Genomic DNA, 25086 nt, shown 5'->3' with positions numbered 1-25086 from the left:
GTAAACTGTCTATGGCCAGTCTCCTTTGCTAGAATATAAGCTCTCTGAAGTGAGGTATTTTTGTGTATTTTGTTTTGCATTACGTTTCTGGCACCTAGAAGACACGCAATAAGCACTTACTGAGTCACATAATTGATCCTCCAACTCCATATAGCCAATCTGATCAAGTGGATTCCCTCTGCATGGCTCATCTGAGAGAATTATTCCACCATGCTTTGTAAATTTTTTTTAAACCACAACTGTAAAGCACTGGATAAACTGGCTTTGCTTTGCAGCTCAATCTCTCCCATGTTTCTCTACTCATAGCAGACACCAGATAGAGATAAAGCCACAGGATCAGCAAGCCCCTCTGTCACAGCAATCAACTGTGCATGGCCATCCTGCCAGTGCTGTTTTCAGGGGGAGCACCCCTTGTAAAGTAAAACCAGCCATGGAGGATGCATGTCCAACACAGAAATGAAGGATGATCTGGAGAGGTTTTAGAAGAACAATTTCTATGACCAAAGATAGCACAAACCAAACTATATGAAATGACTAAAGACAGGAAGCCATACCTCAAGTTTGCATGTGGAAAAGACACAGGAAGGAAGTGTGTAAGAAAGGAAGAGGATGACTAGATCATCAGTCCCCAATTTGCAGCACAGTAAGTGCAACTGGCCTCAACCTATAATCTACTTTAATTCCCCACAAAGAGCTGAGTGGCTCTTGCTAGGCAACATCAACGGAGTAATTTTTAAAAGTGACAGCTCTGGCCAGAAATGGTAAAAGTAGAAAAACTAAGAACGCACAACAATACAACAAGTGGCCAAGATCAAGTTGGTAGAAGCAGCTCTTCTCAAAATCATCTGTTTCAAGTGTGCACTTTTGGAAAGATGGGATGCACATGAGAACACACGAGTAGGACTATCAAATACCTCACAGTCTGCCTTGAATCTGCATGACCTGGAAAGCTCTCCAGCTCTGAGAAGTCCTTGTGTCAGGGGTGGGTTCCCAGGACCACTCCCAAGTTCTATGATTTGCTAGGAGGACTCATAGCACTCAGCATATATACTCACAGTACATACTCATGAATATGTACTAACAGTTCAGATTTATTATAGCAAAAAGATACAAAGCAAAAATCAGGAAAGGAAAAAGGTGCATGGGGCAATGTCCAGAGACCAGGCACAAGCTTCCAAGAATCCTCTCCCAGCGGAGTCATATAGGGCATGCTTAATTCCTCCAGCAACGAGCTGTGACGACAAATGTGGTCTACCAAGGAAGGTCTTTAGAGACTCTGTGTCTTACTGAGTGTTGGTCACTGTACCTAACATGTGCCAAGATTCCAGACTCCCAGAAGGAATGCAGGTGTTCAGCATAAACCATATTATTTGTACACATGGTTGAAGCATAGTCAGTCACTCTTATCAGCATATGGTAGGAAACTGGATTTCCAAGATCCAAATTCTCAGATGCTAGTCCATGGTTAGTCTTGCAAGCAGACCTTTCTAAAGACAGCTATGTCAGGCCTGCTACGCTGACAACTTTCGGCAGAACCCTGCAACCACACCAAAGTCCCTCAACATCTACATGCACACAACACACAGTGTTCCGCTGACTCAGGTAGCACATGGGAGACTGGCAGGAAGCAGCTGGCTGATGGCTTTGTGCCCGGGCCACTACCAAGGGGCAGTATTGGCAAGGACTTAGGAAGGGCCACAGAAGAGAGATCGGCACCCTGGAAGAGAAAAGCGTTCCCCAAGAGCATGCAGCCCAGCAATGGTTGCCTTCTCAAAGTCAGAGGGAACAAGACAGGTCCATGGAGTAGAAGAGCAGTCCTGCCGAGCAAAGGGCATGTGGGAAGAGGAGAGACTGGCACACTGCGGTGCCCAACCTATAGGGCAAGCAGAGACCTTGAGGAGTAAGTCTGGGTCTTGAAGAGGATGGAAGTGATGGCCACACAGGGGGACGTAGAGAAGCCACAGGAAAAATAATGGGGCCCTAGAGACAAGGGAGATGAAGGGCACCCAAAAAAGACTGGCAGTTTAAACATGCGCCAAGTCTTTCACCTTCTAGGTGCTAACCACTGGCTTCCACCAGCTGGTTTGTTTTTTAATGTAATGTGTTTTACAATGCTGTGAAAACAGTGACAATGAGAGGTTTGAGCAAGTGAAGCCCATTTTGTACATCTGATATTTCCAGAAGGTGTGGGAGTAGGGGAGAGGGAGAAGAGTGGGAAGGGGAATGGGTGGCTGTCAGGGGAGAGCATGGCTACAACAGCAATATTTCTGGAAACCAGTTATCGGGGGAATTCACAGGAAGATAGGCTGACAGAGGTATTACACTCACATACATCATTTGAAGGAAGATGACTGCCACTGTCATTTATTGGTTTTTGCAAAAGGCATGACATTCATGCTTATTAGTTTTTATTCATAAGAACAATGAACCATCAATTTCCATAAGCCTTTGCAAATACTTACATGGTATCAAGCACCAAACAAACAAACATCTACTTCAGGGGTTGAATTTTTTTTTTTTTTTTAAAGAGCTAGATGGTAAATATTCTAGATTTGCTGTCCACGTAGTCTCTGTATCAACTACTCAATTTCTGATATTGTGATGTGAAAGCAGCCACAGGCAACACGGCAACACATCAACAAAGGAGCACAGCTGTGTTCCAGCATGACTTTATTTACAGACTGGGCTAGATTTTGGCGCACAGGCCGTCATTTGCCAACTACTGATCTAATTCCTATATGGAACTTGAAACAGGCAGAAACAGGTCTTGAATGGCCATTTAGGTTTTTTGTGGAACTGATGTTGAGCCATTTGATAGGCAATGTCTATCATGTGCCTGATAAAGTGTTTCAGGTGCCTCCACCCTCACAAGAAACTACCAGAGCCATGTCAGGAGACAAAATCATGCCAAACCAGCAAAAATAAAGGAGGCCTTTGCTTCCAGACACCAGCAAGAGAATTCAAAATTCAGTAAGCACTTGAGAATAAAAACCAAAGAAAGACATGGACAGAAAATTCACAAAATATACAAATCCCATAAAACATATGGAAAACAACCTCTCTAACAATCAAAGAAACATATGTAAAATATCATTTTCCATTTATTACACTGGTGAATTTTTCAAAGGAAAATACCAAGTATTTACACAGAGGATGTAAGACAGGAATATTCATACATTATTGATCAGAGTATAACTTGTAATGTCTATCAAGTCTTAAGATGCTTATACTAGAGCCTTCCAGTTATAAATAGCAAAGGCTTACTCTCTAGAGAGATTGAACAAAAAAGGCTCTAGATTCACAACAGTGGATAGGGTAGGGAAAAGGAAGTGAGGTCTCTACTACAAATTTTAAAAGGTCTTGGTCTCTAGCTATGAAGCAAAGTTCTGGCAGCCCCTGGGCAGAAGGCTGAAGGATCCATCTATGAGGAAACTAAGCAGAAGAGAAAAGACTGAAATAGACATTTAGGGTCCAACGTCATCTATGGTTCCCTAGGAGGTGGCCCAGCAGCTGCCAGCCCTCACTCACAGCCAACCTCACCCTCAAATATGAAACCAGCACTACAGATTACCAGATATGTGAGAAAACATTCTCACACCAAAGAAAGAAAAGTGAACTCAAACTGAAAAAGAAAAACTCTCAGATGATACATACAACAGAAAATGATTTAACAATATTTTTAAATATAATACCTCACAGATGAGCGAAGAATATTGATTCATGAAATCAGAGCAAGAATAGGATTTTTGTTTTTTAAAAGACCTTGAGAGAACAACAACTCTTGGAAAGAAGACTAAAATAGAAGAATTAAATTCAGGAGACGAGCTGGATGTAAAGTTGTGAAAATCTTACAGAAAATACAGCCATAAGATGAACAGGAAGGATAAGATGAGAGAAAAGTGATATGAGAGAAGGGGTAGGAATAGAGCCCCAATGTGCACAATCCACCCAGTGAGTTCTAGAAGAAAGACTGTAGGGAGATGAGACTACTCAATAAACAGTTCACAAAAATTTCCCAGACAAGAAAGATGTCACAGAAGAGTCAGAAAAAGGATGAAATGTGGTCCACACCAGGCACAGGAAACATCTGAACACAAGGTAGAAGCAAATCCCACCAGCTTCCAGAAGGCCAAAAGTCACATCTAGGTGTGATAATGCCTCTGGACTTTGCAAAAATGACTCTGAAAAGCAGAGGTCAAAGGAACAAGATCTTCACATTGTTTAGGGAAAAACATGTTCAAACCTAGAATTTTATATGCAACGAATGTATCATTCAAGTGGGAAGGCAGAATAAAGACATTTTCCAAAATTCAAGAAACCTCAGTTGGGCGCGGTGGCTCACCTATAATCTCAGCACTTTGGGAGGGCGAGGCAGGCAGATCACCTGAGGTCAGGAGTTCAAGACTAGCCTGGCCAACATGGTAAAACCCCGTCTCTACTAAAAATACAAAAATTAGCTGGGTGCCTGTAATCTCAGCTACTTGGGAGGCTGAGGCAGGAAAACTGCTTGAACCCAGGAGGCAGAAGTTGCAGTGAGCAGAGACTGCGCCACTATACTCCAGCCTAGGCAATAGAGCGAGACTCCATCTTAAAAAAAAAAAGAAAAAGAAATCTCATGATTTCCCCTCCATTTACCTTCTTCTCTCAGAAAACTATTACAGGATGAGGCAAGAAACCAACAAAGGGGAAAATGTGGAATCTAAGAAATAAAAGACCCAGCACCAAAGGGGAAAAGGGGCTTTGGAAACAGTCCTACGACAACTGTACAGCAGGCCCAGGATGCAGCCAGGCCAGCCTGTCACAGGAGGGCAGAAAGCATCAGGAAGACGACTACTGAATAAAAGCATGGTAAACTATTTGATCTGTGGGCCACAGTAAGAAGGGTTCTCTGATGGAATGTTTAGGGCTGAATTTTGGTAAGGGTAAGAATTTTTTTTTGTTTTGTTCACTGATGTGTGGCTTGGCACACAGAAGATAATTAGTAAATATTGTCCTAATTAATCAAAACAATGCAAACATAAGAAGTAAATTATTAACGCTGGGAAAAACAGAAAGATGTATCAGAATGGCAATTTACTATCACCTTATTTTATTTTAGTAAGTGGCTAAGCAGTGTCCTTATAAAGTAAGCACTGACCACTAAATTTGACCCCAGCAAATATTTAGGACATTCTGATTCTGGAAAACAGAGAGGAGCCATGTAGCGGAGGGGTTGCTGGCAATGGTGGCAGTGTCAGAGAGCTAAATTCCCATCTTCCATAACAGAAAATCAGTAGATAACCTCAAAAAAATGCAAGATAAGAAAAAAGCAACATAAACATGTTATGGAGAAATATGAAAATATATTACTGGAAGAAACAAGAGTTAGAAGTATTTGTGTTTCCAGAACAAAAGTCAGGGGTAAGGAGGAATGAAGTATATAGCAGAAGACAGACTGGTTACAGTCTTATACTATTTGACCTTTAAATTTATACTTTTAAAATTATATACATGTACTAATTTGACAGAAATAAATACTAAACTTAAAAAGGGCTTATGCCCTTTGACCTAGCCATTCTGTTTCTAAGAAACTCTCCCAAGAGAATAATGCAAAGATTTATGTTCACCACAATGATCTTTGTAGTAGAAAAAAGGAAAAACAAAAATTGAGAACCTAGTTATTATGTAGTTATTTAAAAATAAAGCTTTTGAAGAATAAAGAGAATGCTCCCTTAAAAATCAAGACTTTAAAACAAAGAGTACAATTATAATCTTTATGCAATATACACACAGAAAAAAAAAGCTGTCATTGACAGTGCTCTAGAAAACAGGATTACAAGACTTTTTTTTCCTTATTCTTTTCTGTATTTTCCAAATTTCCTACATAACTTGGCCTTATCAAGCATTATAAAAAGTGTTTTTAATTTTTAAATCAGAAAAAGAATTGGAAAACAATTCTAGATATTTCTCTAGAGACAATTACCTCATTTAAAATATATAACGGTAAAGAAGAAAATCAAAGGGCAATCAATACACAATAACAAAAAGAAGACCAAAACAAAAAATCAAAACTCACAAAATTAAGTATGCTTAACACCTGAAACATTTACAACAATATCCAAATGGCCAGAAAGGTGTGGACTCTTAGATTACCTTCCACTCTTGAGCCTTAAACTATTTTCATCTTTAAAAATGCCACACGTGACCTTCTGGTGTGATGCACAATAAAATGCGATTGTCCCAGCAGTGGCAGATTAAATGGGCACATTAGAGATGCACCAGCCAGGATCTGAACCCTGGCTCAGACTGCCACCATTTTGGGTAGATTACACATCATATCCTACCCTGATCCTCTTAAATTGAGATAACTGTTCTGCAGGTTTGCTCTGAGGAAAGAACTAATAAAGTATTTTAAAGTTATTATTTGTGTCTGGGACACAGCGATCTCTCCATAAACAGTGGCTTTTTTTTTTTGCTCTATTTTATGAACACTTTACAAATCTAATATGTTTAGCACACAGGGTTGCATGCAGACTATGTACTGCATTCCAGACAGCACCATTCATTTAGGCCAGGGGTTGGCAAACTTTTTCTGTAAAAAGCCAGATAGGAAATATTTTCAATTTTGTGGGCCTTATGGTCTCCTGTACAACCACTAAATTCTGCAGCTGTAGCATGAAAGCAGCCACAGACAGTAAGTAAACAAATGGGCAAGGTTGTGTTCTAATAAAACTTTATTTATAAATTTAGGCAGTGGACTAATTTGGCCCATGGGCCACAGTTTGTTGACCCCTGACACAGGCTATGTAAATGTGGCCCACTAAAGTTCAACAGTATGGCAGCTAAAAGTTCCAGCACTAGAACTGTTGAGATAAATCTGGAGAACCATCCACCAAGGATTTTGGAAAGTTGCAATCTCCCATTTGGAGGAAATGTTAGAACATCTAAATCTTTTCCACTTATAAAAGCTCATGAATCTCTGGATCTGAAAGAGGAAACAAAGATAATGTGATGTGCTGAAGGTCTCAGCATCAATTCTGTCAGCAGTGGGCTTAATCCCAGCCTCCTGAGCCCTGACCCTACATTTCTTCACTAGGGCTCACAGTCTCTAGCCTGGAATTCCTCAATCTGTGGCCAGTTTACATTCTCAACTCTAATTGCTAGCCAGTCACAAATTTCTCAGAGAGCCTAGTGCAGCGATGTATCCTTGCATCACAGAAAGAGAACCCAGCGGCCGGGGGAAGCTGTATCGTTCTCCTGTTAAGAACAGGACCCAGCTTAAGTCAAGCCTCATAAATAACCATGAAGACCAATGACAACTTCACGGTGGGATTCTGAAGCCTCAAAGCCACACACCCACATTCTCCAAACTGAGAAGAGTTTCTGTAAAAAAAAAAAAAAAAAAAAAAAAAAAAGATACTACATTCCTCAACAATGGCTTTAAATGTGAATAGAGACAGGCACCTACAGACAAGAAGTTGAACCCTATATAAACTGTGCACCGACTTCATGACTGAAACTCCAAACCCTACCTCAAATGTGTGATCCTTCTGTTAAATCTTGATTTTATTTAGCCCCTTCTTTGATGAATGACTAGAACCTGCTCCCCATTTGGTGCCTCTAACATAATTTTCGAGGCTCCTTAGTTTTGGTTAAAAACTTATGGAACAAAGGCACATACAGACCCTCTTAAAACCATTTGCCAAAACCACATTTTGTTAATTATAGCAACAGCCAGTATTTCCTGAGCACTTAACCATGTGCCAGCCCTCCCTCCACAGACACTTTCTCATGTGGCCCCATGAGCTAGTTTCTGCTGTACAGATGAGAGAACTGAGACTTAACCTCTCTAAATGACTTCACCACAGTTGCACCACTGTGGAACTCAGACTTGAACCCCAGCAGCCTGAGTCTGTACTGCGCACACAAGTCTCATCACATGCTGAACCAATGCGTTAACACATCCAGACCTTTCTGTGGTTCCAACACTGCTCTCTCAAAAGTCTAGTTTGAGCCTAGCAGAAACATAAATGACAGATGATACAGTAAAGGGTCCTTTTTTTTTTTTTCGGTTTTGGTTTTAATAGGCCACCTTCTGTATTAGAATTAAAAGGGCCCAACAGTGGTTCTTAAATGCACCCAGGAAGAATGTGCCCTGGGCTGTTGTACAGACTGATCCTGCTGGCAGCTAGCTGGAGAACCCCAGGCCTCCCTCACTCAATAATATGGGTCTCTGCTCAATCTCTCTTCTTCAGAGAGGCTTTCTTGACAAGCCTCAAACCTGAAACAGCACCCACTTCCTTCGCTAATTTCTTACCCTACTTTGCTGTTCCTCAAGCATTTTTCACCAGATGTGTTTATGTATTTGTTTCCTATCTGCCTTCACTGCTGGAGTGTCATCTCCAGAAAGAAGAGATGGTTTTGCTCATCACTATCTCCAGTGCCTAGACAGTGCCTGGCACAGAACAGGCACTTGCCGTATCTGTTAGTAAAGAAACAAATCGATCTCTGGGTGGTAGAATAACAGCTACTTTGTATTTTCATCTTTTTGCTTAGCTGTAATTTCCAGATTTTCAGCAGAGCATCCCTCCTTGTACTACAGAAGCACTGTTTTTTAAGCCTTTCCTTTTGAAAACACAGCACTATTATTCAGTTATACACATCAACTCAAAGGTAGAGATGATGGCTGTATGGTCACTGGTAGCCCGGGGGCATGAAAACCCATGCTAAATTAATCCCCAGGTGCCTGGCTTGACAGCTCCGTACACCCAGCCCGGCATGGCACACACTCCTGGCCAACTCAGTTGCTAATAATGGCCTTCTGCCCTCAGGGAGCAACCATCCTCCCCATGTGGCATAGACACAGGCTAAAAGCCACCTTCTTAATCCTCATTGCATTCCTGGGCAGTACAGGGAAGGCAGTTTATCTTCATCACCATGTCATTCATGTCTGACAGAGGCCAGAAGCGAAAGGAGAAAACCTGAACACACAACCATCTCCAGGAGACACCCATCTGCCTCCCCAGAGTTAGGATTCTGTGAACCACTGATGAGAAATGACTGGCACTTCTGCCAAGAGGTTCACTGTGTTTCAACCTCAGATACCATCAGATACAGCTTCTACTAATCTTCTCCTTGCCTCGACCCAACTGCATCCTGAAATAAAGTCTTAAATATTTACTTTGTTCTTCTGCAAATCTTGCTATAACTTGTACTGTTCACATTAACCACACTTAATGAAAGCAATTATCGAGAAGGTTCTATTAACATAGAGTTTAGACAGGTTAATGACTGTCTTCCCTTGAGAGCTGAGCACTCCCGCACAGGAGTTCCCCTCCCCATTTTGGAGTGGGAAGGTACAGTAAAGGGTCAGGCAGTTTCTGGATCTGCTTAAGTTTGCTGTGACAAGTAGCACAGGAGCCATACAACTTCTGCCTTGTGACAGGAGAAAATTCCTTCTGTGCCAGTTCCTGTACATCATTGCTATCCCTATCCTGAGATGGCTATAGTGTTTGAAGGTCATTTCTAAGGCCAAAAGGTCAGGCAAAGCCAATAGGTTTTCTTGGACTAGGGTGAATGCATCTACAAGTTGAGGGTCAAAAAAGACATGAGCGCAACCAATACTTTCAGTCATTCTCCTCCGGTAGATGGTGAACTCAACATTCCCAAAAGGAGCCCTAGTTTCCTACCCAGCTGCATTTCCGATGCCTGACACAGACCTGGCATCATGCTGTCCGCATAGGTTGGATAAAAGATACATCAGTGTTTGCCACGTTATGTTTGTGACCACTGCTTTGTAACACGGTATTAATCACAGAGGGCAAGGTCAGTAGGTAGGTCACAGGAAGATGTTGGACCAGGATCTCAATATGCATCATCTCATTGCATCCTCACCATGAGGACAGTGTTGGTGTCACTACCGCCATTGCACAGAGCATGAATCGGAGGGTCAGCAATGGTTAAGTATAATAAAATGCTAACAGCAAGTATGTAAGTGGACCCAGAGTTCTGCTCAAAAATGTCTGATGCCAAAGACCAGGTCCAGGCTGTGACTGCCAAGTAGCTTCTGGACAGCCCTTTCACAAGGTCCGGTTTTCTGTATAAAATGCAACATTGGGAATGGGTAGTTTACATGCCCATTAAGCACTGACCATCTGCTACATGCCTGGCCCAGGAGTGAAAACCTGAGTTGGACACTTAAGAAGCGTATGAGGCAATAGCCAAAGCTTACGGAGCTCTTATTTTGTGCCCAGCACCTTGAGTGTGTTCCATGTGTTAACTCATACTCCTAGCAACAATACCATGGTACAGGCTCTTATCCTCATTTTATCAATGAGGAAACTGACTGGGTTTATCCAGGGTCCCATAATCATGTGGCTGCTGTTTAATCAAGTCCCCCGAAGGGGGAAAACATTAGCACAAGTCCTTCACTGGGTGTCCACTTTTCTCTGGTTCAAGAGCCCATCTCTAGCTGCACCAAGGTAAAGGAAAGTTTCCACAGTAAACGTTGACTAGAAAACCTCTCCAACATGAAACTTCAAGACAGCTTAAAACCAGCTAAGAGTGCAGCTGTCCAACTCTGACAATGCAAATCAAAATGCAGTTTATAATGCTCTGTCAATCCCAGACATGTCGTCCTCGGGTGACTCTGTCCACGCCATGGGCCCTCTGCTTGACATAAGCAGATTTGGGGTTTGTGATCCCACACGTGAGACTTGCTGAATGTTCAAGGGTAAAAGAAGTACAGAAGAAGGAGGCTGTGAGATGAAGATTATTTCTGCTGTCCTGAACTGTAGGGCAGTTCAGTCACACCCCTAATTGAATCCCTCTTTCTGTCATTTCTAAACCCAAAGAATTTCAAACCATCTTCACCCCGCATTGCTTTCTCTCCTTTTTCTGGGATGTAAGCGAGAAAGGAAAAACAAAAACTAGCAACTGATTTTTATTTAGGCTGCCTAATTTTAGAAGCTGTGGATATGCAAAGCCAAAAGCACAGCTTAAAGGAAAATCTCTCAAAACCCCAGAAATCTTCAAACCTACAAAACCTTTTCAAAAACATGGAGTCAGATACCTCTCTTCCATGTCTCACCAAATCAGCTTTATTCCAAGTATTTTTTTAAATTTTAAGATCTCAGGCTCTACAGTGAGTTTGTTGAAATACTTGTCAGTGAAAACAGGTAAAGGATGAAACAGCACAGACAAGGGACTATCTGAGGAAGCATATGCTATGCTGTAGCTGTGGAATGTCTATTGAATCAATACCATATGTAAGCTGATATCACAACTGTATACACATACCTCATTAAGCCAAATTAAGCAAGTGGGATCTGTCACCTTCTGATTAAAACAAACAAGTCTAATTTCAGCATGTCCTATCACCAATACAAAGAACAACCCTGAGTAGACGCACTTTCAAGGTCCCCAGGACAGCCCTGCAGTGTATGTTACTGAGTTCCCCCATCAAGTGGCTGGGGAGGAACATTATTCCCGACAGGGATATATATAGTCTCACTTTTCGAAATGAAACAAGCCATGTATTCCTTGAAGGGTCAGTAATTAGTCCAACAGAATTAGAAATTCTGGGTCCCTGTTTCTTTTCTGCAAGAACTATTCATTCAAAGCAACCTCTCAGGTAGTGGAGGTGGCCTGAATTTTTTTAATCCTACTTACAGGTTTATAATTAGCCACCAAGAAACACAAAATAAATTCTTATTATGGAATCTCAGTTTTCAAAAGTGAAGTGAAACAAAGGCTCTTCCGGTCTTAACAATTTAGCAGTAAACTTTCCAGGTGCTTCTGGGAATTCCAAAAGGATTCAGGGACCTGTCAAAGCACATAAGTGGCAGAAATGGTGATCTAGAAGTGAAAGCATGGCCATCAGCGTCATGGCAAAGGTTCTAGGACACAGTGCCTGACCGGCAGGAGTTGTGTTTAGGAGAGGGAGGAATGTACCCAGCTGGACATTTATTGATAAAAACCTGTGATTTGCCAGACTCCAAGCTCAGCACTGAACTGAAAAGAAAAATATGAGATCCCACCCATGCCTTTGAGGAGCTTACAGACTGGCTGTGAAGACAAGCAAAGAGTGGAAAAGTCCAAGGACACACATGGTAGGAACACAAGGCAAGGACATCACAAACCTCTGGGATGTGAGGGGCATCAAGCAAGTCTTAGGGAGACAGAGCTTCAAATGAGACTTGAAAAAAGTGGTAAAGAAGAGTCAGCCAGAACAACAGAAGCATGCCAGGCTGTGGACAAAAACATGTTAAGTGTGTAAGAGCATGAATAAACTGCAGGCAGGGGTTTGGGCTCGTTCCAAGTGGGGCTGAGGCACATTTGGCCACAGTAGTGCTTAAAATGGAGGCAGAAATTTAGCAGTCCTGAGGCTTTGCCCTCCAAACACTCAGGGAGAGAAAAGCTTGAGTCAGGTTTAGGATAGCTCCAGAAAGCCAAACCATGACATGACCAGGGTCTCTAGTAGCCATATGCATTTTATCTGCTCATCTGAAATCTCTTCAGGGACCCTCTCCTATACCATGAATTCCCAGGGGTGACCCATGTGACCCAGGCCTAGCCAATCAGGATGGAACATGATACTGGTCACTCTGACTGGATCATGAATAGGCATAGAGGCCAAGCCAAGCCAATCATGACCCTGCTCTAGAGAGTTGCCAAAACTTCCTGGAAAGCAGCACAGCCGTCTGGGACTGAAAACTAAAACCTAGAGCCTCCTTGGGACCATCCATCTCTGCCCTCACCATGCAAAGATGGCCTAAGAATGAAGGCAAAATAAAAGACAGAACATATTAACATAGCCTTGAAGGACAGCATCACTTCTGAACTGTATTTTCTTCTTAATGATAAAAAGCAAAACCCTCTTGACAACACAAAGTGAAAACTATACCAACAATGAGAAGAATTTTCGGTAAACATACCAAAAGAAATGGCTTCTGACAGTATCCAATACCTGAGAGGACACAGCTGAGGTTCTTAAAGATGGCTCCCATGTCTGAACCTCTCAACAGCATCCCACAAACTTTCAAATGACATGAGCCCCAAGTTCCCTTTTAGTTTAAGTTAATATAAGCTAAGTGGTTGGCCTCTTGCAACCAAGAGATTATTGACAAAACATGAATTTCGTGATGAGCTAAATATTGATAACAGAGGCACAAAAAGATCAATTTGGGAACTTCAAATTTAAAGTGTTCCAGTGAAACACTATATACAAAATTATTTTCTAATCTATAAAGCACTATACACATATTAATTTCACTATTAGTGGTGATATCCAAATAAGAAGTCACTACAGTGTTCCATTTTTATGTCAATATTCCAAATATGTAACTTTTAAACTGTAATTAACAAATGCTCATACAGTACTGACTTTATGCCAAGCATGTTTCTAAGAACGTTATTGGTCTCACCTAATCCTCCTGACATGGTTTGGCTCTGTGTCCCTACCCAAATCTCATCTCAAATTTTAATCCCATGTCAGGGGAGGGAGCTGGTGGGAGGTGAATGGATTATGGGGGCAGTTTCCCTCATGCTGTTCTCATGGTAGTGAGTTCTCAGGAGAGCAGATGATTTTAAAGTGTGGCACTTCCTTGCTCTCTCGCTCGCTCTCTCCTGTCGCCATGTAAGACGTGCCTTCCTTCCCCTTCCACTATGATTCAAGTTTCCTGATGCCTCCCCAGCCATGTGGAACTCTGAGTCAGTTAAACCTCCTTTCTTTATAAATTACCCAGTCTCAGGTAGTATCTTTATAGCACTGTAAAAATGGACTAATATACCTCCTAACAATACTGTGAAATGGACACTACTATTATTTCCCCCATTTTACAAATGGGGAAACTCAGCCAGAGGAAGGCTAAGAAACTTACCCAAAGTCACACTGCTATGAAGTGGTGGAGCCAGTATTTGAACCGAGCCAGTCTGGTTCCACAGATGCTGCCTTTCATTGTCCCTCATCCCCTCAACACTAGCATCAAAGTTTCAACTGCCTTTAAACCGATATTCTGAAACAAATGGCTTGTGGCTACAGTCCTCATGGAACCTTGTCTCTCTGCTGGGTTGTTTCCTCAATAATGAGTCACCCAGCTATCCTTCAAGCTACACCCTTGGAAATAATTATGACAAATTCTCCCTTGCCCTGTCCCACGGTCTGTCCGTGTCCCCATAACACCAGCTTCACCCTAACGTGGGTCTCAAATTCTTTCTCCCTGGGCCATAGGAACATCTCTAACCCAGGGCATTCTCCTCCTAACTGAAGATTAAATGCAGTCTCTCTCACCCATTCATATGCATTTCACTCCACATGGCCCATAATTATTCTCTGGAAATACAGACCTCACACCTATTCATCCTCCTACTTTAAACCTCTCATCAACTGCCACGGCCCAGGGAACAAAATAGAAACTCCTTCATTTAACATTGAAAATGCATCACAAATCCCAATTAACTCTCTAGTCTCATTTTCTTCAATATTGCTCCAAGTATGCTGTCAAGGGTATTTTCTGATGTAAAGTAGATCTTTGGGGACCTGTCTTGTTTTCTTTAACTTATTTAATTTACTCTCTCATATCTTGATAATTATATACTTTGCTTAAAATAACAAAGAATTTCTTCTAAAACATTCTGCAATTTAAACCCATTCTCTAAGACTACTTTGTACCATTGTTATCCGGAATTAGTGGTCCTTTCACGAGAAGAAATAATTACCTTCTATAGAAGCAGAAGTAAAATGTACATTGCCAAAAGCACACTGTGGGCCAGGAAAGGAGTTCCTTAAGGGCAGGATCCTAAAATAGTCTTCTGGGAGTTTCTAAAATCTCTTTCCTTGGAGGCCTCCAAGACCAGTGGCAAAGCTAAATGAGGTGGAGATTGGCGGGCGGCGGGGGTGGGGGGGCTTGTGAACAGCCTTGCTAGGAAAAGGGAAAGGAACTTTAGGTCTCAGCTGGCAATCAGGAAACTTCAGCGTCTCAGGCGTCTTTCTGCACTAACCATAGGTGAAAATATCTGCTGGCACCAGATTCTAACAGTATCTCATAGATCGGAATTTCACAAACCTGCCACAATTGACATTTGGGGCTGGATACTTCTATTATGGGCAGTGTCTTATATATTGTAGGATGCTTTTTGCAGCATCTCTTGTCCTCATCTATTAGAAATAAATAGGCCAGTCACAGTGGCTCATGCTTGTAATCCCAGCACTTTGGGAGGCTGAGGTGGGAGGATCGTTTGAGCCTAGGAGCCCAACCAGCCTGGGCAACATAGCAAGACCCCATTCTCTACAAAAAATAAGAAAAAAGAATTTGCCGGGCATGATGGCACATTGCCTGTAGTCCCAGCTACTCAGAAGGCTGAGGCGGCAGGGGGTGGGGACATGGAAGGTCGAGGCTGCAAAGAGCTGTGATAGTGCCACTGCATTCTGGCCTGAGCAACAGAGCGAGACTGTCTCAAAAAAAAAAAAAAAAAAAAAAAAAGGAAATAGCACCTCTTCATTTGTGAAAACCAAAATGTGTCCTGACATTGACATGTGTCCCCTGGGGGCAAAATCGCCCACAGCTGTTAATCACTGCTATAAATTCACTTCCTCAAAGATCACCATCACTTCTGAACTGTCTTTCTTCTTCTAAATAAAAACAAAATATCCTTGACCACACAAAGTGAAAACCATACCAACAAAGACAAGCATTTTTCTGTAAAGATACCAAAAGAATAGCTTCTGACAAGGGTCCACATATTTATTGTTACCATTGCAAATAACAAAACAGAAAGTGACAGGTAGATAGACAGAACATATTTGCTTCTTGCTCAACTTAATAGGAAGCCACCTGCAATCTCATCTCTCTCCCGTCTCTCAGTAGCATCTGGGATCTCACTGACATACCAGTATCTGACCCTGGGAAAGTCATCTGCTGAGCCACTGCCCAGGGGTGGAGCTGGGACACTTCAGGTGCTACTTCAACACAAACTGATGACATGGGTACACATACAAGGAAAGAGCACAGGTACAACTAAATTTCAAGGTCCATTAGCAGCACAAAGAGGGGGAAATTGCACTTCCAAATGCAAGCCCTGGAACTCAGCAGGGACATTTTTCATTTTCAACTTTCAAATGGTAAGAATAATAATAATGGTTGCTGTTTTTAAGAACAGCTTCCAAATTCAAATACATTGCACTTCAACCCCAAATACTAGAAAGTGTTGCATATCGCTCCCCACTTTGGAAAAAATGCAGGGTTGCTGTAAGTTCAACTTGGATTAAATACCAGGAAACTGTCGCTTGAGTTATACCTGTACCTTTGATTTTGTGGTTCTGCTTCCCAAGTGACCTTGCAATTATTAAGTCATCACAACACCACTTGGATGCTATCATTATGGTTTTGGCTTTTAAGGAACAGTCAGCACTGGCCAGTTATTCAGCTGACCTTGAATGACAACTCTTTATTGAGAGTATAAATAAATGTGTACACATGCACATACATACACTACCCCGTAGAGAGCTACACAATGTTCTTGTCCTCTAAAGTATCACAATCTAGGATTGTAACTATCACATCTAGGATTGTAACTATCACATCCTATGAAGCCTCCACATCCCATAACCATTGATGGGAAGTTCAGTCCTGACCAACAAAAAAGGCAGTCCCACTTCTTAGGCGGTGTCTGCTAAGGTCTGAGAACTAGGGAAACGAAATACCAAGTCCGACTTCTAGGCAAATCACCACAAATGTAAATTGAGAAGAAGAACTATAAGAAGAAACTCTTCCAGGTGGTGAAACCAAATGCTGTTCCCTCCAATAGAAACCAATCCATGTGAGCAATATTTACTGAATTATCTTCAACAGGTAAGGCTACAATCAAGACACTATGGGCAGAACAAAGATATATCAGACATTCAGTCCTTAGAAGGCAAGCATTTTCATGATCAGATATGTATACTTTTTACCTTTTCCCCATTTCAGGTACATGACAAAGAACCACAGATCCAATCCTATTCGCTCCACTTCCTCACTTAAGATCACAAAACTAGAGAAAGACAGAATGGGTCTTTCTAAAATTCAAAGCATCATTCTAAAAGGAGAGAATTTTGACGAAGGCCCTTCAAGCCCTTTCAGAAAGTGAATATGGAGAAATTAATTTACTGTGTGATTGGTGGAAGGGTGGGGATTTTAAAAATCTGCTTTTTCATTCCTTTGAGTCCCCTTTCTCTTCAACAAGACAAACAGAGCTCAAAAATCCAGTTCAATCTGATTTCTTGATTTTAATAAAGCTCATTTCCACCTAAATTTCCCTAGGGGCAAATTTACTTTCACATTAAAAAACCCTCGGTGATAAATTTGTGAAGATAAGCCATACTGGATAAAAGCTACACAGAACACAGCTAGAGAGAAAAAATAAGGAGACACACAGACACACACACACACACACACACAGAGCTATCCCCCTAAAGAAAATAAATTTAGGGAATCCTTCTTCAATTGCTATGGTACCCAATTTAGAGACAGTTTATAGCCAACCAGAAGATATATTAGCAAGCAATAAGACACAACAATAAGCAATCAGAAACATCAGTGAGCAATAAGACACCAGAGTCAGCTGTAAAGACACACCAGGGAGAACATTTCTGAGCAATTACCGCATGTCTCCATTCAGGAAGGGAGAGAGAAAAACTTTACTTGGCGAGGATTGGAACCCCATAAAACTGAACTCTCACAGCTCAGGAGCCATTCTTGGGTTGACAGAGGGGTCTGAAGACATCAGCATGGTTATGGATCAGAGAGAGGGCAGAAAAGCAAGGAAGGGCTGCTCATAAATGAGAACTGTTCACTTAAGTCCTTGTCCTTCTTTCTGGTACTCTATAGACATGGCAAATCGTTTTTTAAAAATATGTAGTTGACTGACAAGATATAAAGGACCCCCCCCCACCTTCTGGGGGAAATGAAGAAGGCTGTCCAGCATATCTATATCCACTTTGGCCAAGACAGTGTCTATGAAAGGGATGCCTCTGCATGCATGCACGCGCACGCGCGCGCGCACACACACACAGACACACACACACATACACGGGCCAGCTTTTACAAACATTAGCCTGAGAGCAGACACTGAGACAGAGAAATCCTTAATGAGACAGATGATTAAATCTAGGAAACTGGCAGCTCTCTTCTAGGTAAGAAAATGGTAGCATCTTTTTACAGACACATGCCTTTATGATAATTTACAAATGGAAGGAGAGATGGAGTTAACACTCAGAATCTCTTCTCTACATAGCACTAGCAGATCTGAAGCTGAGCTCAGGGGACTCCAGTACCAACAGTCACCCACTCCCAAGTACTTAAACTCAACAAAACCTGTGAAAACCCTTCTCAGAGATGCTAAGAAGATTAAGTAAAATCATGTACATTGGAGGGTCAGGCAGAGGAACTTGTATTTACTGGACAGCTACTAAATGTTAGTTTCCTCTCCTTCCCTGCCTCCCAATTTTTTTCTGAGTCACCCCCACTTTACAGCAACCATGGTTTGTGTCATTTTATGCATGTGTATTCTTTTCCTAATTAGCCAGTAAAAATTATGATGGTATGGACTGTGTCCCACACATACCCGAGAGATGCAAAGACATGCAAATGAGGTTAATCATTAAATGTGTAACTCTAAATTTGCTCCCATTGCCCAAAAAGGAAAAAAAAAACAAAACACAACACTCTGGTTCTTTAAATATTATTAAAAACACAGCACCAGTGGCACATTTAAAGGAGTCCCGCTCAGAGCCATTGGCTTAGAGAACATGATGCTTGTTAAGCGGTACACTAGCTCAATACATACGGCTGGTATATTTCCAGACTTCGTTTGAAAGTAGTCACCAAGTCCTTCCCATTTCCTTCTTAGAGGTGTACCCACGACCCTGTGCTCTGTGGCTTAAAGCCCAGGTAGCAAAGTCCTTGTGAGCCTTGCAACAAACAGGACAGCCAGAGGCAGCAAGATGCCACGATGGGGGAAAGAATGACAGCAGATGTGTTTATAGAGGCTCACAAGCCACAGGACTTCAGAGGCAGTGGAGAACAGCAAAGTTAAAGGCAGAACACTCCATCCCACCTCCAGAAATATGACACAGAACAGTGATGAAACCACATAGGGCCTTTCCAGTAGCATTTTCTACAGGGTACAGGGGTGGCAAGTGGAGACTGAAGAGGCATGGTTCCAGTTATTAAAAAGCAGCTAAACACAGTGGGAGGTTCTCTTGTCTAATTACAGAAGCTGTTGGAAACTGCAAGGAAGACAGGATTTACGGCCTAGATGACACTGCCTCTGTGTTGTAATTAAAAGTTATTTTTAATACCTTTGTTTGGTTGAATACTTTGAATTATTAGAAATATATTTTGCAATTTAAAATTTGCTAAAGGGCAAAGAACATTAAAAAAGGTAATAACAACCACCTTGCATAATGTAAAACAATTAAATGTTTTGACGCTGGGAGGTGGGAAAGGTAAAGAATCTCTCCCACTTAAGTGTGTGAATTTTTACAAGCAAAAGGGAAAGGAAAATAAGCTTAAAAGTATATGAAACAAGATTTTTTTTTAAAGCAGGAACTGATGTCAAAAGTAACCTAGTTACTTACTTTATCTATTAACCAGAGTTTGGCTACCACCCACCAAAAGTATAGACAGCTTGTTCACAACCATTCACCCAAAGCACTGAATCCTAATCCTCAGGCTCTTCACTTTGTCCTGGGTCCCCAGAAAATCGTGGTCACCCTAACAAGAGCAGTCCTGGTTCAAGCACAAAGACCCAGGGGCTGACCTCAGAGCAGTGTGATGGTGGGGGAGTTGCGGGGATGGGGGGGTTCTAATGTGAGCTGCAGGCAACAACATGCAGCGTATAATCTGGGTGTTGTTTTTAGTCAATTTTCCTTGTCTCATCCAATATTCCAGTTTCCAGAAGGAGCCAAACAAAATGCCTCCCAGTGGGAACCGCATGGTGGTGTACATGAGTGGCTACAGAATCTGCCTACGACTAGGCAGGGGTTATCTCCTAAAAGCCATTTCCAGAATTTCTATTTCTCCATATATACATAGGAGGCATTTTCGGCAATGGTGGCTCTTTTTTAACAACAGGGAGGAGAGAACCTATTATACGTAACAGACTTTCAAAATTGTCTGATGGGAGTACGGAGGAGGAAGAACTCTAAAAGGCACAAGCTTCTCAAATAACCTCTGTATTTCATTTAATCTATGCCATGAATCTTCTCTTTACAAGTGAATTCCAGGAGCTCATTAAGAGCAAATGTGTCACACAAACCACCAAATATTATGCATCATGATAAAACTATAAAAAGCATTTTAACATCTGCTATTAAAAAATAAATTTAGACTTATCTTTACAATGGCCATGCCAAGTTTATAGAATTTATATTATGCAGGTTCCAGTAAGAACCACTGCTCTCCTTTATTCTCTTCTTGGTCCAAAGCAGGGTGTGACTCCATATCAGGGCAGAGAATTGCTATTTTTACCTGCCACATTAATTTTCTCAAGTGCAACCAAGCTGGGAACAGCTGTAGTGGAGTTGGTTGAGTTTGTTCCGGTGCCATTGACAACAAGATTGTCCACCTTCGACTCCAACTTGCCAATGCGCTGCAAAATGTTATCTAATAACACAGCAAGGGTTTTCTTCAGATCTGTAAAAGAAAGTGCAGACAATTTTAAAATTCTATGGCCTCTACATATCTGTCTGGCTTGCTCTCTCTTTATCGTGGAGAACAAAACTTCTCAAATGTTTCTGAAGTGATACAAAAGATCTGTCAAACCACATCTGAAAGATGACAAGGGCCGTCTTCAACTGGCCCAGATCCTACTAAATACATCAGTCTGTCGTGGAATGCAAGTCTGGCAATAAGTAACATGGTATAACTATTTCCAGCTACTTGGTCAAGAGAGAAAACTCCTTGTTATTTAGCATCCTGCTATAGCACTACACTGAATTCCTCCTCCTTACAGCACCATAGTTTCTCACACAAAGCTTGACACCCCAAGGGTGCAGCAAGATCCCAAAGTAGCCTCTGGATCAAGTTTGTTATTTTTCGTGTTGCATACTCTAGCATGTCCCAGTTTTTTAAAAAGTGTTTAATTCTGTTAGTTACATACACTAACACTTCATAAAAGCTACAGCTCCAGATTTTCAGGTCTGCTAGGTAACCCAGAGTTGACTATAATCAGATTTAGGAAATATTTAAAATAAAGATTAGTCTCATTCATTTGCTCACAAATATTTATTAAGCTACTACTATGTGCCAGATATTATTCTAGATGCTGGGGATATACTCTCATCGTTCTTACATTTAAGAGTTGGTTCCCTTTCTCACACATCTGACTACACATTAAAGAGTACTGCACTTCCCTCTGGAAAAATTACAGGAACTCCTTCTTCACCCCTATGGATGCATTTACTATTTGTAGACAAGATATTCAAAGAAAAAAGAAAAGATAAGCTTAGACTCTCTCCTCTAAAAATTCATAATCACAGAAAGATATACTGACTTGTATGTGTCAGAAAAGCAGATGGGTGACTGCATAACCATCCACAGAAATAGAATCCAGACCCATTTCTGAATTGGGAGTGGGCCAGGGGAAAAGTGCACAGTGTGGGTAGCAGGACTGAGAAAAGCCCTGAGTTAAGACAAACGGGAAGGTGCCATCTTCCATTCTCCTAAAAACAGAGCAAACTTGTCCCTGAGCAGATGCGGTAATCTGGCCATGAAATAAACACACATGCTCACATAAACAGCACAGATCACAGCCAGCGAATCTCAACAAAGGTGCACCAGCCTGTTCCATTATGCCTCATGAACCAGAAGCAGATGCTGGTGCTGTGCTTCTTGTACAGCTGCAGAATCTTGAGCCAAATAAACCTCTTTTCTTTATAAATTACCCAGGCTCAGGTATTTTTTACAGCAATGCAAAATGGACAACTGTTTTATCTTCACATCCTCCCCATGAGGTAGATGTGACTCCGTTTTACAGATAAGAAAACTGAGGTTCACAGATATTAAATAATGAGCTGATAAAATGAGGGCTTGCCTCAGGACTGCTTAATTCCCTGACATCTCAATGGGACCAATCAGAAGTCAAGAACCTGGGTAGAAAAAAGAAACCAAGGGTGAAGTTCAGAGTCTTTCATCCATAACACAGTGGTTAAGGGCCTGACTTTGGAGCCAGAGTTCCTAGGTTTGAGTCCTACCTCTGGCATTCCTGTTTCCTTACCTGTAAAAGAGGGACATGAACAACACTTCAGCTTTGAGGTTGTCAAGAGGAGTTAAAGAGTTAATATTTATAAGGTGTTTTGAATACTGGCTGGCACATAATAAGCACTGCATAACTGCCTGTTAAATATATAAGTAAAATAAAACCTTTCACTGGAAAATGTTCTCATCCTTCCCAAAGAACTCTCTCCTCAGGTGATGCAAAGCTTCACTGCTTTATCCAAGGGGTCATGAGAGCACTCTCCTCTGCGGTCTGCAGTCCCACGGTCAGCATGACTCAGTTTGTCACAGGCACATCATTAGTTGGCACAGACAGCGGGAGTCAGTCACCTGTTCTGTCACTAAGTCTAATGCATCAACTGGCTCTCCAGAGTTCTGAAGAGTGCCAGAGGCCAGTCACACAGAAGGGGGCAGTCGTGCCAGTGAGAAGTGGCAATGTTCAGTATAAAGAAATACTCTTCAGATATAAAAGATCAATCTCCCCCATTTCAGCCTCTTTGCCTAGAGCCTGTGTCATCAGCCAGCTAGAATCCGAATACAATCTAGAATAGCATTTAACTATCACCGGTAATTGTAGTTGGCCAAGCACAGAAGCCCTGGCCCTCTAGTGTGACTTAACTCAGGATTTCTCAACCTCGGCACTACTGACACTTTGGGCCGGGTAATTCTTTGTCGTGGTGACTGTCCTTGCATTGTAAGATGCTTAGCAGCATCCCTGGTCTCTACTCCCTGAATGACAACAGCAATTATCCAGGTGTGGCAATCAAAAACGTCTCCAGACACTGCTAAATATCCTTTGGAGGGACAAAACTGCCCTGATTTGACAACCGCTGAATTAGGTGCATTCTCTCAACCCCTCTGTATTCCCCACTGCCCCTCTGTGGAGACATGGAGAGAGAACTGTGATAGAGAGGTTACAGGATAGGAAATGCCTACTGAATGAACCTGCATCATGTGTGACTTCCATTCACTGGAGGGACTGCTACAAATACAACAGAAAGTTGCAGTGAGAGAAGTCTGCCTTCCTCCCTATGGGGGAGCTAACAGAACATGAGCCAATGCTGATGGGCTCTCATCAGACTACTGGACACAGTCCCTCAATCCATTGTTATTGGTGATAGTTATTAGTGGAGTATACTCTAGGTAGGATATGAAGTTGTCATACTTACAATTAAGAAGATATTCTCCCTCAATTCTCAAATTACAGTGACCAGTAAATACAACTGACCTACTATCTCTTGTTGACCCCATCTGCCAAAGATTGACCTTCTGTGACTGTGTGACATGGAGTGTAAAAGGGGATTCATAATGAGGAGGAGGGATCACCATCACCACGGCCACCCCAATATAACCTCCTCCACTTATTGAACTTTCTATATGCCAGGCAGTGTGCTGAGCACTTTACATGAACTAATTCATTTAATCCTACCAAGACAGTCTGAGGAGCATGTGATCATCCCTATGCCCCTCTTAACAAATGAATAAATCACAGCACAGAGAGGCTAAATAACTTAGCAGAGGTGATTACAGATCCAGGACTCAAACCCAGTCTGGTTCCAGGGCTGATGGCTCTTACCCACCATGCTTCACCACCTCTTAAGAACTACAATGGACCTGTCCACCAGCAAGCATCTCTGACTTGCTCCCCCTGAATCTACTTGTTAGGGAATAACCTCTGGGATTTTGCCATGTGTTTGTGTAACAACATATACCAATCACTCTTAAGACTCACTCATGTCCCTGTCCTGTGGTAACTCTGTCCACCCGACCCAGTATCACTAAACATCCACCAGCTGACACTGGAGACTACCAGATACATCAAGTGATCCAAGATTTTTTTAAAATTAAGACTCTTTCTTTATCTTCTCCCTTAAAATGAAGACGGAATATAAGCCTACTAAAAACCTTGAATTCTCTAAGCACTTTACCTAGGTAGGCATGTTTTCTCTCCCAATATGAAAGAAAAAAGTTCATTTTCAACTCAAGCAGCTACCTGAGTCACCATTTCAAAGCAGCCAACCCAAGATTAAGGATGTTGTTAATAAAAAACACAATGACAGAGATGACGCCAAGCCCATATCTGTATCATTATACAGTGCTAGGCACATTAAGCATGTGTTACGTAAGTGAACAAATGAATGAGTGAAACAAACTATAGTACTCTCACAAATAAGGCTCAATAAATTATACCTTTCCGGGCAATGAAATTATTTTGCACCTTTGTATTTTACTGTTAAACCTCCAAAAACTGTTAACAGTTTTATCACAACTTTAAAGAAATAACAGGCTGGCGCGGCGGCTCACGCCTGTAATCCTAGCACTTTGGGAGGCCGAGGCAGGCGGATCACCTGAGGTCAGGAGTTAGAGACCGGCCTGACCAACATGGTGAAACTCCGTCTCTCCAAAAAATACAAAAAATAGCTGGGCATGGTGGCGTGTGCCTGTAGTCCCAACTACTCGGAAAGCTGAGGCAGGAGAATCGCTTGAACCTGGGAGGTGGAGGTTGCAGTGAGCCAAGATTGCACCGCTGCACTCCAGCCTGGGTAACAGAGCCAGAGCAATACTCCATCTCAAATAAACAAAAATAAAATAAAATAAAGAAATAACAGTATTTTTGTGTTTTAATCTTTTTTTTTTTTTTTTTGAGATGGAGTCTTGCTCTGTGGCCAAGGCTGGAGTGCAGTGGCACGATTTCAGCTCACTGCATCTGCCTCCTGGGTTCAAGCAGTTCTCCTGCCTCAGCCTCCTGAGTAGCTGGGATTACAGGTGCCACCACACCCAGCTAATTTTTGTATTTTTAGTAGAGATGGGGTTTCACCATCTTGGTCAGGCTGGTCTCAAACTCCTGACC

General features: G+C 41.9%; 1 protein-coding gene across 23 annotated transcripts in view, besides 7 other annotated features; it reads right to left on the bottom strand.

Annotated features, from left to right (window-relative positions):
- MGAT5 (alpha-1,6-mannosylglycoprotein 6-beta-N-acetylglucosaminyltransferase) overlaps positions 1–25086 on the bottom strand; it is a 334687-nt gene that overhangs the window by 163582 nt on the left and 146019 nt on the right. For all 23 annotated transcript variants that reach the window (XM_006712534.4, XM_047444397.1, XM_047444400.1 and 20 more), the window contains one exon: positions 20490–20654. In XM_006712534.4, coding sequence (XP_006712597.1) covers positions 20490–20654 — 165 coding nt within the window. The remainder of the gene's footprint in view (positions 1–20489; positions 20655–25086) is intronic.
- Positions 1428–1477: an enhancer, noted in NCBI's record as "active region_16560". NCBI's record gives its function as "activates an Ori minimal core promoter by ATAC-STARR-seq in GM12878 lymphoblastoid cells {active_cell/tissue: GM12878}" and the evidence as "EXISTENCE:reporter gene assay evidence [ECO:0000049][PMID:35858748]".
- Positions 3444–3523: an enhancer, noted in NCBI's record as "active region_16559". NCBI's record gives its function as "activates an Ori minimal core promoter by ATAC-STARR-seq in GM12878 lymphoblastoid cells {active_cell/tissue: GM12878}" and the evidence as "EXISTENCE:reporter gene assay evidence [ECO:0000049][PMID:35858748]".
- Positions 3544–3593: an enhancer, noted in NCBI's record as "active region_16558". NCBI's record gives its function as "activates an Ori minimal core promoter by ATAC-STARR-seq in GM12878 lymphoblastoid cells {active_cell/tissue: GM12878}" and the evidence as "EXISTENCE:reporter gene assay evidence [ECO:0000049][PMID:35858748]".
- Positions 3664–3743: an enhancer, noted in NCBI's record as "active region_16557". NCBI's record gives its function as "activates an Ori minimal core promoter by ATAC-STARR-seq in GM12878 lymphoblastoid cells {active_cell/tissue: GM12878}" and the evidence as "EXISTENCE:reporter gene assay evidence [ECO:0000049][PMID:35858748]".
- Positions 3858–3917: an enhancer, noted in NCBI's record as "active region_16556". NCBI's record gives its function as "activates an Ori minimal core promoter by ATAC-STARR-seq in GM12878 lymphoblastoid cells {active_cell/tissue: GM12878}" and the evidence as "EXISTENCE:reporter gene assay evidence [ECO:0000049][PMID:35858748]".
- Positions 8462–8671: an enhancer, noted in NCBI's record as "active region_16555". NCBI's record gives its function as "activates an Ori minimal core promoter by ATAC-STARR-seq in GM12878 lymphoblastoid cells {active_cell/tissue: GM12878}" and the evidence as "EXISTENCE:reporter gene assay evidence [ECO:0000049][PMID:35858748]".
- Positions 10441–10590: an enhancer, noted in NCBI's record as "active region_16554". NCBI's record gives its function as "activates an Ori minimal core promoter by ATAC-STARR-seq in GM12878 lymphoblastoid cells {active_cell/tissue: GM12878}" and the evidence as "EXISTENCE:reporter gene assay evidence [ECO:0000049][PMID:35858748]".

Source organism: Homo sapiens, chromosome 2 (genome assembly GCF_000001405.40).
Source record: "Homo sapiens chromosome 2, GRCh38.p14 Primary Assembly".
NCBI lineage: Eukaryota > Metazoa > Chordata > Mammalia > Primates > Hominidae > Homo > Homo sapiens.
The sequence above is the reverse complement of the archived record's forward strand: the minus strand, read 5'-3'. Positions and strand labels throughout refer to the sequence as shown.